We start from the raw sequence: 15,734 nt of genomic DNA, 5'->3' as shown, positions 1-15,734 counted from the left end.
ACTATAGTCATCCTACTCTGCTATCAAGCATTAGAACTTATTCCTTCTATCTAACCGTATGTTGGTACCCATTAACAGCTCTCTCTTTATCTAACCACCCCACCACACACACACTTACATACTTCCCAGTCTCTGTTACCTTTCGTTCCGCTCTCTGCCTCCATGTGATCTGCTTTTTTAGCTCCCGCATATGAGTAACAACATGCAATATTTGTCTTTCTGTGTCTGGCTTATTTCAGTTAACATAATGGTACCTAGTTCCATCCATGTTACTACAAATGACATAATTTCATCCATTTTTATATCTAAATAGTATTCCACTGTGTATATGTATCACATTTTCTTTATCCATTTATCCATTGATATATAGTTAGGTTGATTCCATATTTTTGCTATTGTGAATAGCATTGAAATAATCATGGGAGTGCATGTATCCCTTTGATATATTAATTTATTTTCCTCTGGATAAATACCAAAGGAAAAGTATTGCTGGATCATATAGTAGCTCTATTTTTAGTTTTACCAGAATTTTCATAATGTTTTACATAACGGCTGTACTAATTTGCATTCTCAAAAACAGGGTATCAGAGTTCGCTTTCCTCCGTAGCCTCACCAACATCTGTTATTTTCTGTCTTTTTAAATAGCCATTCAAACTGATAACTCATTGTGGTTTTGATTTGTGTTTCCCTGATGATTGGTGATGTTCAGCATTTCTTCATATACCTGTTAGTCATTTGTATGTCTCCTTTTGAGACATGTCCATTCATGTCCTTTGCCCACTTTTAATGGGTTTTTGTTTGTTTTTCGTTGTTGTTATTGTTTGTTTTTGTTTTACTACTGAGTTCCTTGAAATCATGGATATTAATCCCGTTGGATGAGTAGTTTACAAATATTTTCTCCCATTCAAGAGGCTGTTTCTTCACTCTGTTGATTGTTTCTTTCTCTGCACAGATGCTGTTTAGTTTAATATAATTCCATTTGTCTATTTTTTGCTTTGTTGCCTGTGCCTTTGAGGTCTTAGCCATAAAATCTTTGCCTTGACCAATGTCCTGAAGAGTTTTCCCTGTGTTTTCTTCTAGTTGTTTAATTGTTTCAGGTCTATGTTTAAGTATTTAATCCATCTTGAGTTGATTTTGTATATGGTGAGAGATAGCGGTCTAGTTTCATTCTTCTGCATATGGTTAACCAGTTTTCCCAGCCCCATTTATTGAAGAGGGCGTCCTTTCTCCAATGTATGTCCTTGACAGCTTTTATGAAGATCAGTCAGCTGTAAATATATGAATCCTTTTATGGGTTTTCTATTCTGTTCCACTGGTCTACATGTCTATTTTTATACTAGTGGCATGCTGTTTTGGTTACTGTAACCCATAATATATTTTCAAGTCAGGTAATGTGATGACTTTCAGTTTTGTTCTTTTTGCCCAGGATTGCTTTGGCTTTTCTGGCTCTTTTTTTATTCCATATGAATTTCAGGATTTTTTTCTACTTTTGTGAAAAATGACTGATATTTTGAAAGGGATTGTATTGAATCTATAGATTGCTTTCAGTAGTATGGTCATGTTAATGATATTAATTCTTTCAATCCGTGGGCATGGGATATCTTTCCATTTGTTTGTATCCTCTTCAATTTCCTTTATTACGGTTTTGTAGTTTTCTTTGTACAAATCTTTCATCTCCTTTGTAAAATTTACTTCCAGGTATTTTTTATAACTATTATAAATGAGATTGCCTTCTTGATTGCTTTTTCAGCTATTTCATTATTGGCGTATATAAACACTACTGATTTTTGTATGTTAATTTAGCATCCTGCAACTTTACTGAAATTGTTTATCTGTTCTAAGAGCTTTTTAGCAGAGTATTTTGATTTTTCTAAATATGAGATCATCTTATCTATAAAGAGCAACAATTTGACTACTCCATTCCACCTTGCATGCCTTTTATCTCTTTCTCTTTCCTGATTGCTCTGGGTAGGACTTTCAGTGCTACGTTCCAGTTCTTAGAGGAAAGACTTCCAACATTTCCCCATTCAGTAGCATGTTAACTGTGGGTTTGCATTACATGGTCTTCATTATTTTGAGTTATTTTCTTTGTATGCCTAGTTTGTTGAGAGTTTTTATCATAAAGTAGTGTTGAGTTTTATTAAATGTTTTTTTCTGCATCTATTGAGATAGCCATATGATTTTTACCCTCCATTCTGTTGATGTGATATAGCACAATGATTTGTAAATGTTGAACCTTCTTTCATTTTTGGTATAAACAATAATTGATCATGGTGTATTATATTTTTGATGTGCTGTTGTATTTGTTCAGCCACTATTTTTTGAGAGTTTTTGCATCTATGTTCATTAAGGATATTGGCATGCAAATTTTTGTTGTTGTTAATGTGTCCTTGTCCACTTTTGGTACCAAGGTAGTGCTGGCCTCAGAGAGTGAGTTATGGAGAATTCTCTCTTCTTCAATTTTTTTGAAAGTTTGAGGGAACTGGTATTAGTTCTTCTTTATAAGTTTGGTAGAAATTGACAGTGAATCCATCCAACCCTCAGCTTTTCACTTTGGGGAGACATTTTATTAATGATTTGATCTCATTCCTTAGTACCTGTCTGTTTATGTTTACTGTTTCTTCCTAATTCAATCTTGGTAGGTTGTATGTTCCTAGAAATGTATCTATTTCCTCTATATTTTCCAGTTTGTTTTCTTAGTTGTTTGTAATAGATTCTGATGACCTTTTTAATTCTTGTCATAGCAAATGTAATGCCTCCTTTTTCATTTCTGATTTTATTTGGGTTTTCTTCTGTCTTTTCTTAAATAATCTAGCTAGCAATGTATCAATTTTGTTTATCTTTTGGAAGAACCAATTTTTCATTTCATTGACCCTTTTTATTGTTTGTTCAGACCTTCTTATTTCATTTAATTATGATTTGATCTTTATTCTTTCCTTCTGCTAATTTGGGGTTTGGTTTGTTTTTGCTTTTCTTGTTTTTTGAGGTACAGTGTTAGATTGCTTATTTAACATATTTCTCCTTTTGATATGGATGTTTATTGCTACAACCTTTTGTCTTAGCACTACTTGCTATAGCCCATAAATTTTAGTATGTTTTGTTTCCATTTTAATTTGTTTCAAGAAATATTTCGGTTTTCATCTTAATTTTAATATTGACCCAACAGTCATTCAGAAGCATGTTGTTTAATTTCTATGTATTTGTAGAGTTTCCAATGTTCCTTTTGGTATGGATTTACAGTTTTATTCCATTTTGGTCTAAGAAGATGCTCGATATGATTATCCTTTTACAAAATTTATTGAGACTTGTTTTGTAGACTAACATATACTTTATCTTAAAGAATGTTCTATGTGCTGATGACAAAAATGAGTATTCTGTGTTTGGTAGATAAAGTGTTCTGTAGATGTCTCTTAGGTCCATTGGTATAAAGTTTAGAACAAAAAATCCAATGGGATTTCTTTGTTGATTTTCTGTCTAGATGATCTATCCAAATACTGAGTGGAGTGTTATAGTCCTGCGCTATTATTGTATTAGAGTCTCTCGCTCTTCTGATCTAGTAATATTTGTTTTGTGAATTTGGATGTTCCAATATTGGGGCATATATATTTAGAATTGTTATATCCTCATGCTGGATTCATCCTTTATCGCTATATAATAATCGTCTTTGTCTTTTTTTCACTGTTTTTTGACTTAAATTATTTCTTATGTGATATATACATGTATAATTCCTCCTGGTCATTTTTAGTTTCCATCTGCATGAAATATATTTTTTCATCCCTTTACTTTTAGTCTATATGTTTCTTTAAAGATAAGGTATGTTTGTTTCCTGCAGGCAGCATATACTTGGATTATATTATCTTTATTCAACCATGAGATATCTTTTAAACGGAAAATTTAATTCAAGGATATTATTGATATGAGGGATTTTCTTCTCATTTTGCTAAGTATTTTCTGGTTGTTTTGTATATTATTTGTTGTTGGTGTTGTTGTTTTTCTTTTTTTCTTACTGCTTGTCATTGTAGTTTGGTGGTTTTCTCTAGTGGTACCATTTGCATTCTTTCTCTTCTTCATTTGCATGCTTACTTTACCAGTGAGTTTTTTATATTCATGTGTTTACATGATGATAGATGTCATCCTTTGCTTCCAGGTTTAGGGGTCTTTTGAGCGTTCCTTAAAGGGCTGGTCTAGTGAGGATGAATTTCCTCAGACTTTGCTTGTCTGAAAAAGTCTTTATTTTTCCATAATTTATACCGGATAATTTTGCTGGATAATGTATCTTTGGCTAACAGTCTTTTATTTTCTTTCAGCATCTGAATATATCCCACTCTCTCCTGGCCTGTAAAATTTCTTTTGAGAAATCTACTATTAGTCTGACATGGTCTCCTTCATGCGTGACTAGAAACTTTTGCTGTCTTCTTTGCCTTTAGACAGTTGATTATAACATGCCATAGAGAAGAGCTTTTTGCATTGTATCTGTTTAGGGGGGTCTCCGGGCTTCTGGTATCTAGATGTCTAAATATCTTGCTAGACTTGGGAAGATTTCATCTATTATTTTGTTTAATAGGCATTCTATTTAACAAAATAGAAAACCTATTCTCTTTCTCCTTCTGGGACCCCAATGATTTGAATATTTATGGTAATTTGAATATTTGAATATTGACTTTTTGGTGTCCCATATGTTATGAAGGGTTTGTTCATCCATTTTTATTCTTTTTTTTTCTTTATTTTTGTTTGGCTGGATTATTTCAAAACACCTGTCTCAAGTTCTGAGATTGTTTCTTCTGCTTCATCTAATTTATTGTTTAAGGCTTCTAACAGGTTTAGTATTTAAGTCAATGAATTCCTCAGTTCCAGATTTACTGTTTGATTCTTTTTTTAAGTAATCTATCTCTCTGGTAAATTTCTTATTCCTATCCTGAATTGTTTTTCTAGTTTCTTCTTCTTATTATTATTATTGGGGGGAATTTTGTATCTCGCTGAGCTTCTTTAATGTCAATTTTTAAATTTTTTTCTGAGATCTCATGAATTTATTTTTAATTGGGATCTATTGCTGGATATTTATTTTGTTCCTTTGAAAGTGACATATTTTCTTTTTTTTTTTTTTCATGTTTTTTTTTCCTTATGTTGATGTCTGTGCATCCGGTATAACAGTTGCTTCTTCTAATTTTTTGAATTAGCTTTCATAGAGGAGGACTTTTTCTTGAAGATATATCTATGGTGCTGGTTGGGTAGAGCACTGTGGCTTTGAATCTGGGTGTATGCAGTTGTATAGTCTCTGTATGATTCTTTTGGCTGTAAAATAGCACCAGTGGTGTCCATGATTTTCTTAGTGGCTTAGGGTGTCTCCTGGTGTCTGTAGTTTTGCTGGGGTCTGGGACTCCAAGTAGGCCAAACTTCAGGTACCCATGGTGGCAGTGGTGAGCTAAGGATGCCTTTGTAATGGCTCCAGGGTGCAGGGTGCTGCACATTGGCACTGGCGTTCATGGGTCCAGGCAGGCTGATTCTTGAGCTTCCAGGTGGGTTGCTCAGATGCTGGGAATGGCAGCAGTGGGCCTGGTGTACGGGCAGGTTCTCAAGTGCCTGGGTGGTTGGTATGACATTGACAATGGCAGTAGCAGTGGTGGGACAAACCCCTGGGACGCAACTGGTCCATGCTGTTTTTGACTATAGTTAGGCGAGCTGATTCCCAGACCTGCATGTGGTACACACAGGTGGGTAACAGTTGTGGTGGTATGGGCAAGTTAAGTGGGCCCAACCTCAGACACTCAAAAAAGTGCTTAGGTGCCACCAGTGGTGGACTGGGCTGGGCAATCCCAAGACCCTTCAATGGTGTGCTAAGGTACGGGGGTTATGGGGCCAAGTCACATTGTGCTTTCAGTCCCTCGGATGGTGTGTAAGACACTGGCTCTGTTATGCAGGAGCAAGATGAGCCCCAGGCCACTGGCAAATTGCTCAGGTGAAAGTGGCAGTAGCTACATTGTGGCCCTGCTCCTAGGGAGGGCAAAGTTTATTTCCCTGGAGGAGCCATAGGCAGGCAGCTGCGAGGGTGTGGGTTTTGCCTGCACCTCAACCCACAACAATCTGTAGCCACAGTTGTTGTGGGCAGTGGTATTTGTCTTCAGGGTGTATGAGAATGTGCAGCTGCCCCTCTGCTCAGGGGGCGGGATTGCTTCTTATGGCTGCTTCTTTGGCTCCAGTTGCAGGGCAGGAGTTGGCTGGGCTCTCAAAATGGCATCATGCTACCACTGCCCAGGAATAAGGGGACTGTGGAAACCCACATGAGCTCTCTCTCTGGTGCAATGCCTTACTGCAGTTTTTGAGGGAGCTCCCTGTGTTAGTCTCATGGCCCGTGAGGGTAAAGGGATCTCCCATGGCCAGGATTATAGAAGTCCATGGCAGAAATGTATACCACTGTGGGGGTTCTCTCATCTACCCTTTCCCCACACTGGGGAGTCTCTCCCAGCTCCCAGTGAATCCCAGACAAGCAGGCTTCTTTGCTTCCTTACTTTCTTTGCTTTGGATGTTTCCTGTCATTTCTCTGTTGAATTCCAGCGTTCTGTTGTGGATGATCTATTTGAAGTGTAATTATCTGCTCACTATTTTAGTTCTTTTTAGTGGAAGAGGGCAAGTCAGAGATGCCTCTAATTGGCCATGATGAAGCCCCTTTTCTTTCTTTCCGAAGTGTAGTTTCTGGGGCAAATGAAATGACCGACCACATTTTGTGAACCAGGCATGGCTAGACCATAGACCCAAGTCTAAATAAAAATCCCTCCTGAGATTCATGTTTTCCTACAAGCCAAATTTATAAAACTATGGAAAAACTGTACTTTGATCAGAACTAAAGAATTGTTGCCCTTGAAGCTAAGTGGTAATACCATTTTAAATTATATTGACATTATAGCCAAAATGATATAACGTAAAAAATCCAAAATACCACGATGTCAATAGTAAAATGTACACAGAGCTCTAAAATTAATATATAAATATTACTTGGTATTTAAATTATTATTGTAGTAGAAACGAAGATTGGGGCCTTTTGACAGTAACACTACAAGGTTCTGAATTCTACCTTTGGTTAGGTTGTTAGACTTTGCTGAGGCTAGTTTTTGATGTCCTGATAAGCCTTTCTGGACATCTTTTGAAGCTATTCCATCATTTGGAAAAATTAACAGAGATAAAGATGCTCAACAGGTTTATGTGGAATGTGGATATATCAGTGGATATATTGCTGTCTCAATCATACAATTTTATTTTTGTTTTGCAATTCACCGTTTACTCTCTGAAGTCTAAATGTCACCAATAACACTACCAGCAATCCAACAAAAATAATACAATTGGCCGGGCTGGTGGCTCACACCTGTAATCGTAGTACTTTGGGAGGCAGAGGTGGGCGGATCACCTGAGGTCAGTAGTTCGACACCAGCCTGACCAATACGGTGAAACCCTGTCTCTACTAAAAATACAAAAATTAGCCGGGCATGGTGATGTGCGCCTGTAGTCCCAGCTACTTAGGAGGCTGAGACAGGAGAATTGCTTGAACCCAGGTGGCAGAGGTTGCAGTGAGTGGAGGTCGTGTCATTGCACTCCAGCCTGGATGACAGAGCAAGACTCCATCAAAATAACAATAACAACAATAATAATAATATAATTAATACATTCCAAAACTTTATGGCCTTACTTTGAAAGGGCAAATAGAAGGAGAGGAGTTAGCACTCATGAGTTATCATTTTGCTGACACTAAAAAGGTAAGGTTTTATACATGCCATAAATTTAAATTAGGAGCTTATTTAAATGGACAGAAACAGAAGTTAGTAGCAGAATATAATCACTGAACCAAACACTTAGCTTCCATACCTATATTACTTTCTTCATGACTATATGTTTCTATACTTTAAAGACTTTTCTCACATTCCTCATTTTCAGCTCTTTCTATTGATTCCAGTTTCTCTACATTTTAATAACAATAATAAAAGCATCAAAAATAACAACATATATTGAGGGCCTAATTCATGCCAAGCATTATGTGAGGCGTTTTCAATAAGGTATCTTCTTTAATTTTTATAACCGCCAAATGAAATCAAATTCATTAAACAACCTTCAAGATCTAATAAGAAAATAAGAAACCGCAGCAGGAGCCTATGTGAAGCAACCGCTGGCTTACAGATGTTCAGTTGGAAGAAGAGACTCCCTCCATTTACTGGGAGTCTTCAGATCTTAGATAAAAAATTAGGAAAAGGTGAAAAAAACTCTGAAAATACAACTATTCTACTTGAGAAACAATGCTCTGTCATGAAAATTAAGGTCAAGTATCATAAAGAAGTTGGATTTTCTGCATACCTGAGTATTGTGTATAAAACTCCCTCCTTAATGGAAAATAAATTTATCCAAAAACTTAATAAGTAAACTTTGAGAATATGTTTTAATGAAAGTGGATAACTCTTTTTTGATGTAATAATAATTTCTTATTACTTGATTGGAGAGGTTTATATGCCAGAGAATGATTTTTAGAAGTGAAACAAACAAAATGTACATTTAATGATATTTATTTACCACCATTTCATATAGAGCATATAGAGCCTGAGACATTTCACTGAACGTTCATCTACTGATTACTGTTTGGCTTTGTATTTCTTACATAATCACAGTTACATTACTTCACATAAGACTTTCAATTTCAATTGCTTTGAAGTGGAACTGGAATTTAAAGGCACTTCTAAGCTATCAGTACATAGACTCTATTGGCATAAGGACACAATTCTCAGTCTTTACAGTTGTCTCCCACATCTATTTTGAGAGTGGCTGATTTTAGAAACTTACGGTTATTGAACCTTTCAAAGTAATCAATTTAAATGCACAGAAGTTAGTAGTAGACCACATAGTTGGAACAAACATTTTTCACACTCATATTTAATTCATTTGCATAATAATTAAATTATGAGATTACAATAATAAATTAAACTGGCATATACAGTTTGGTATCAAAACAAACTGTAGGTTAGCAACCCACTCAGTTAATGGGAACAGAATTGTGTGAACCTACTAAGGAGGAGCTAAAAAATGGAATGGTTCAGGGCACCACAAGCATCAGGTAGTATGCAATGCAGCTGGAATAAGAAGGCGTGTTTACCATCCAGGTAAGAGTGTATTTAGGGCATTCAAATTGTCACTATTAATTTTAGCAGCATCAATTTATTTTTCATCTGGTTTGAGTTTGATATAGCAGCACCAATTTTTAAACAATATGATAATCAAAGAGTATATGGGTTTAGGTCACTAAATAGTCATGAAAACAAATTATCTAAGGACATTCACAGATTTAGAAATGTTTAGCTACTTTAGATTTTTTAATACATGTGGAAGAAATAGAAAAAATTTTAATGTATCCTGCAGTTATACATGCTTACTAAATTTATTTATATATTTCATTATTTTATCATTGTATGATTTTACTACAATTATTTTTCTAGTTTTTATAAAAAATTATTTACACAAATGATGACTTTTTTGAGGTGGAAAACTTAGGGAAATTTCAAAAACCTGGTATCTATATATTTAAAATCTAATAATGTTTTATTCTCATGTCTCATCTAAACATTCTTTTAGGCTAATATAGAATTTGCATAATCTCAAGATATACTAAACTAATATAATAACAAATGAAAGATCAGTGGACAGACCTACCTCCTTAAAAGAGAACTTACCAGTTATAGGGGCTGTACACATTAAAGTCATCCGCCTTAGGATAAATCAAGAAGTGCGCTTAAACACAGACTCATACACACACACAATGTGTACATATGCATACACACACAGGACTGTTTTCATGATCCTTGGTATAGTTATTTACAGAAAGTTCCACTTCTTATATCTTATAGTAGACATGATAGTTATTACACCAGCATATGTGTATGTACATGCTATAACATCTTCCATCTTTGTGTAGCAGTCATGAGGTTTGGTTGGAACAAGTAGCAGCTGCCTGCTGTCCTGCCTCTCTCCGACAAACACATACATCATCTAAAGGAAACAGGGAAACCTCAATCCCCTTAATAAAGTGATTCATACAAAGATAAGCAGGTAATGCAGACCTAAACCAAATTCCCTGGGCCAAAATGACAGCCTTAGAATAGAGCAAGAGTCCTAAGTTTGTCCAACCACAATGAAGCCGAGGACTTTCTTCTCGTAACCAGGGAGACGAGGTTTTGTCTTCCTCTAGATGGCGATGAAAGGGCAGGGGGCAGAGTTGTTTTTAGAATGCGTGTATGTGATACCTAGAACTACTACAGCCTTTGGAGAGGTCAGTCTGAATGAATGTAATTATGTTGGGGGTTGAATTATGCACTTCCAAGAGTTATGTTGCAGTGTTAACTCTCAGTACCAGTGAATGTGACTTTATGCGAAAATAGGACTTTGTAGATGTAATCAAGTTAAGATGAGGTCATATGGCATCAAGGGGTGTCCTAATCCAATATGATTAGCGTCCTCATAAGAAGAAGAGAAGGGACGTAGAGACTGACACACAGTACAAATACCACATGATGCTGGAGGCAGAGATGAGAATGTCAAGGATTGCTGGCAACACCAGAAGCTAAGAGAAAGGCATGGAGCAGATTCTCCCCTAGAGCCTTCAGAGAGAGCATGGCCCTGATAACACCTTGAGTTCAGACTTCTAGCCTCCAGAGCAGTGAAAAACCAAATTTCTTTTGTTTTATGCCACCCAGTTTGTGGTTCTGTGTTAGGAAAGCACTAGAAACCTAACACAACATAGGACAAAGCTAAGAGAACTTCAAAGGAATTAAGATAAAATACTTTCTGTGGCTGAAGCTATTCTAATTTTGTCTACCAATTCTTCTTCCATAGTAAGGAAGTGTAAGGTTTTGCAGTTGTTATCATTTTACTTCATTTGTTTGTTTTGTTACTTGCAACCAAAAGTATCCTAATTCCCACATTTCTTTTTCTGATGTCATCTACCTTCTTGTCGGCATGAGTTCCAAGAACTCCAGAAAGTATAGCTGTCAGGTTCACCTGGTGAATGCTTTGAAAGTAAAGACTTAGCCTAAATGCCTGGGTATCACATCCCCACTTTGTGTGTCTACAATTTGGCTGCAAACATATGAAGGAAAGGGCTATACAAAGGCAAGCTGGAGAATAAAGGATTATTCTTTTCCTTTTCCCAGATATTTACATTACCAAAAATATACTAAAAGGAAACTACTTGTGCATTGTTTAGTGGTGAAAGAAAAACAGTTTACATAAATTTTCTGCAGATACAATATAAATTTTGTAATCCTACTTAGAGGTACAGTGTTACAATGTTAACATGGTAGCTTTAAGCCTGTTAACTACTTATCAGGAAGAATATGATTCTACAGTCAGCCAACAATTATCAGCAACGACAGATAAATATTTTCCATTACTCTTATATTTTTAATTTTTACCACACATTGATATCCTAGTTCTGGATAAAATTAACCACTGACATAAATTTTTGACTACATTAAAATAAGAATATATTATTTGTATTTTTTTAGATTTGCACATTAAAATAATTGTTTTATATCCAGTACTTTTTAGATCTGCACATTTAAATACTTAATTGTTTTACTACCTAATATCTGACTTGCACATTTGCAAAATATTAGCTAAAGGTATAGGGCCTGCTTGAGGTGGTGGAATAAAGCAAATATAAATGATCCATTCCAGAACTGAACTCATGACTATTACATTATAAGCAACGTTAGTCTTCCATATTAGCTATCAGACAAACACGGTAATAAACTGTGAAGAGTAAATCCTAAGCACATCTTGGAAGTTATTCCTTGATCAATATTTTAGGTTTGTAAATAGCTAAATTTTATACAGGAGGGAAGAAGGAAAGCTAAAAATAGACTAAGAAATTGTATTAATCTTCCCACCCATTCCCTCTATCTTCCCTTGCTTAAAAAACACTTAAGTTGTATGTTTGCTATTCACTTTTAATAAAGATTATGGTAGTTTTACCTTAATATTATTTTGATTAACATATTTTTATAAAATACACACCTCCTACATATCTCCAAAATTTATTATATAATTTTTTAAAAAGATAAAGTCAAGAACAACATACAATACCAAAATTGAATAAATATAAATGAATGAAAAAAGATACATTAAAATATGAGTGATTAAATATTTATTTTACTCATGCTTTCTGAAAATGAAGACAAATGGAAAACTTCAATATTACTGATTTCTAATTAATCTTAGTTAATTAGAATACAGTTTTGAAAACTTTTTTCTTATGTTAAATATAATGAAAGTTTATTTTGAAGATCTTTACCAACAACAATGGCAACATTTTGAATAGTAGGATTGTGGAAGAAATGTTTATAAGACCTTTTCTGATATCAGTCCTACTAAAATTTATATAGATATTAGGCCAAAGAGAGTACTTCGGAAGGTATCTAAACCAATAAGATTTGAGTTTGTAACACTCTGATGCTGTAATTTGATATAAAGAAAACATTAAAATATCCAGCAGACAGAATCAGGCTATGACTCTATCTTAATTAGTTTTAAGTTAATTTTTGATGGAATTAGAAAATACAGGTTTTACTCTCAGGTAAGATCCTAACACATAGCTAATGCATGTTGCTTACTGTGGAGAAATTTAAATGCCTTGGATACCATATATTTAGATGCAATAGCTGGCGTTCAGATTGAAATAGATAATGACTTTTTTACTGTCATTTGAATGAAATATCAACTTGTGTCTAGATGAATACAGACTCAAGGGAATTCTTTTAGGTAGAAACAACATTTTCTCCAATTTTGAGTCCACTCAGGTAAGTGTATCTGACTCTAAGGTGCTGTCCATGAGTTAAGTTGAACTGAACCCTGAATGGAAAGAAAATTGAATGGTTAAGTTGAAGCGTTGTTCGATGGATGTGAGTTGTTCTTTTTTTGTGAAGAGGCTTCTACTGCAAGGTTTCTCTGACAGTCCAGCCGCCATAGAGGTAAAATTATCATTTGGAATTTGACCTCCTGTTATCAAGCCAAAGGGTTTACAAAAAGTAAATCAACTCACAGACCTTTTATAACTCATCATCTCAAAATAATTAAAATACTCGTTCTTAGAAATCTACAGAAAATGCATACTCTACTGTGTCTTCCTAAATTAAGCTCAGTCCCAAAAGTCTTGTCCCTTGAAAATAATAAAATTAAAATCCTTATCCACTGTATCCCAGGTGACTAATAGCATCTGATGAAACAATTTGACAGCAAATTGGTTCATTACCCAATAAATGAAAGCTCTACTCTCTGAAGGTCAATGTCCACTTCTTGGTGCATATTAAGTGAGGAAATGCAGAAATCACATCTTTAGCTTTTCCAGAGACAGCTACCTTTCATGCAGATAACTGAGCCTACTTCATCTCTGAGGAAATTACAAAATGAATGTTAATTCCCAGCTCTGTTTCCACATGAACAGAAGGAGTTTCATGCCTTGCCACAATTCCAGGTTCTAAACCCCTAGTGCAAAGAGAAGACTCACTTTGCCACCTGAAAGCAAAAATTGTCCAAATGGGAATCCCCATTCATCATTCAGCACTGGCTCTGGGAATACCCTCCAGATGGGTTGAATTCCTGTCCACAAACCTCTATCTTCTGTCTTTATAACTCAGCAGAGCATAATTATCTGTCCTAAATTGTGTTAATTAAACAATTCCCATTTCATAAATGCTACTTAGTCCTTGAGACTCAGGCCTACTTAAAAAATAGGTGGATGTGTTGAGACTTCTGATCTTTTAAAAAAGGTTTTATTTCTCTAATAGTCCTGAGCTTTCTCCAAACAATGTTTCCCCAGATATCCACAATTAGAGTTTCATTTCTTAAAGTTAAGCATTACCCTCTTTCATTGTGCAAGTCCATTTCCTGAAAAGGGTGAACATTTTAAATTCATAGATACTTAGAATGAATTGATTTACTCATTGGCTTTTTTTCACAACAAAAACTCAGAGCAGCAGGAAAGCAATTTTACACAGAGTCGACCCCTGCTGAATCTGATGTTTCTAATCGCATACAAATATGCAGCAATATGTTGTATATTTATCAAAACAGCGAGCAAAAATGATATCTTGATAGAAGAAAAAGAGCTGGGGCAAGATAGTTTATTGGTGCATTAATTTATGTGTATTATTTTTCTACTCCCTCACCTCTAAAACACATAAAAATGCTAAGCAGGTAGCTAGGCATGTAAAGATTTCTTCCCTTGGAGATTTGTACAAGGAGGAAAACAAAAGCTTTGTTTGTTTATCTTTGGTAAAGGTTTAATCTTATTATTTCCATAATCCAGGAGTTGGAATAGGGGTCAGAAAGGAGAGAAAAAGCAGAGAAAGGAATGAGCTTGAAAGAAGAAAGAATATAAGATATACATATATACGTGTGTATGTGTGTGTATATATATATATATATATAAAACTTACAATTGGAAAGATATTATTTTTAATAATTTTTTGTTAAAAAGGGTCCTTCACATATATTTCTCTTCTCATCATTCATTTAAAAATAAGTGGTTTGGCATTCTTCACTAATAGATAAAAGGATGATTTCAGGGGTGAGGTACATAAAGTAATTTATCTTGGAACGTCTTGCTGAATCAGAAAAAAAAAACAATGCTCAAAGAATAATAGGAACATATAAAAAAGACATAAAAATAGTTTGAGCATCAAATTAAATAAGAGTAGTAAAGAACTATAGCTTATTCAATAAAATAAGAACCCAGGAGTCCATACTGAAATAAATAAATAAGTAAACATGCCTAAGTTCTTATATTCTTTAGAGTAAAAATAATATGGAAATGAGGTTTAAAAATTATCAATGGATACCAAAACTTGAGGGCAAAGATATTATCAAAATTAACATAGATAGTATTGGAATAAACTGACATCATGTACTTCCTGATACAACACAGAGAGGAGATATCATTTTGTGGTGTTCCAGCCAAATAGATAACCTAAATTTTATCAAGGAAACATCAGAGAAAAACCAAATCAAGGTTATCGACTTATATAACCAACTTGTAGTTCTAAAAAGCAAAAAAAAAATATGGTTTAGAAACAAAGATGGATCTTTTCTAAATTAAAAAAAAACTGAAGAAACATTATAACTTAAATATAATGTATGATTCTGGATTGGATCCAGGAGTAGGAATGAAACAGCTATAAAGCCACTATTGAGACTGTTGATGTAATTGGGCACAGACTATATACCAGGTAGTAGTTGCTTCAATGTTAAATTTCCCACTTTTGATAATAATACTATGGTTACATAGATAATACTCCTCTTCTTAGGAGATACACATGAACTATGATGTAAAGAAGTGCAATATCTCTAACTTATTCTCACATTATTCTTATCAACAATGATAAAGCAAATGAGACAAAACGTAATTTCGGTAAGGAATATATGGGAGTTAGCATAAATTCTTGTAATCTTTTCTCTAATTTGAAATTATATTAATACTAAAATGAAAGCTCATCAAAAATTAGTGGGTTGGAGTTGATAATCTTCAAACTTTGCTTCCTTAAAATTTATGATTTTAGAATGAGTTTTATTATGAAAATTTCTCTAGCTTTTCTCCTGGAAATAGTTGCCCCTTTGCCTTATTTATACTCCTAGATCCTGCATCATGATTCACACTTCTGTGATTAAAATAACATATTCAACAGGTATCTTTGAGTACTTAGTTTAAGGCA

The 15,734-nt window shown here is 34.6% G+C and overlaps 1 long non-coding RNA gene across 1 annotated transcript in view, besides 1 other annotated feature; it reads right to left on the bottom strand.

Moving 5' to 3' along the window:
- The window catches only part of NRXN1-DT (NRXN1 divergent transcript), a 1,375,317-nt gene that overhangs the window by 1,150,252 nt on the left and 209,331 nt on the right, over window positions 1-15,734 (bottom strand). The gene's annotated exons all lie outside the window — the stretch shown is intronic.
- Window positions 3-1,202: an enhancer, noted in NCBI's record as "MED14-independent group 3 enhancer chr2:51483602-51484801 (GRCh37/hg19 assembly coordinates)". NCBI's record gives its function as "activates an origin of replication core promoter dependent on BRD2, BRD4, P300/CBP and CDK7 cofactors, and independent of MED14, by STARR-seq in HCT116 cells {active_cell/tissue: HCT116}" and the evidence as "EXISTENCE:reporter gene assay evidence [ECO:0000049][PMID:35650434]".

Source organism: Homo sapiens, chromosome 2, assembly GCF_000001405.40.
Source record: "Homo sapiens chromosome 2, GRCh38.p14 Primary Assembly".
Lineage (NCBI taxonomy): Eukaryota > Metazoa > Chordata > Mammalia > Primates > Hominidae > Homo > Homo sapiens.
The sequence above is the reverse complement of the archived record's forward strand: the minus strand, read 5'-3'. Positions and strand labels throughout refer to the sequence as shown.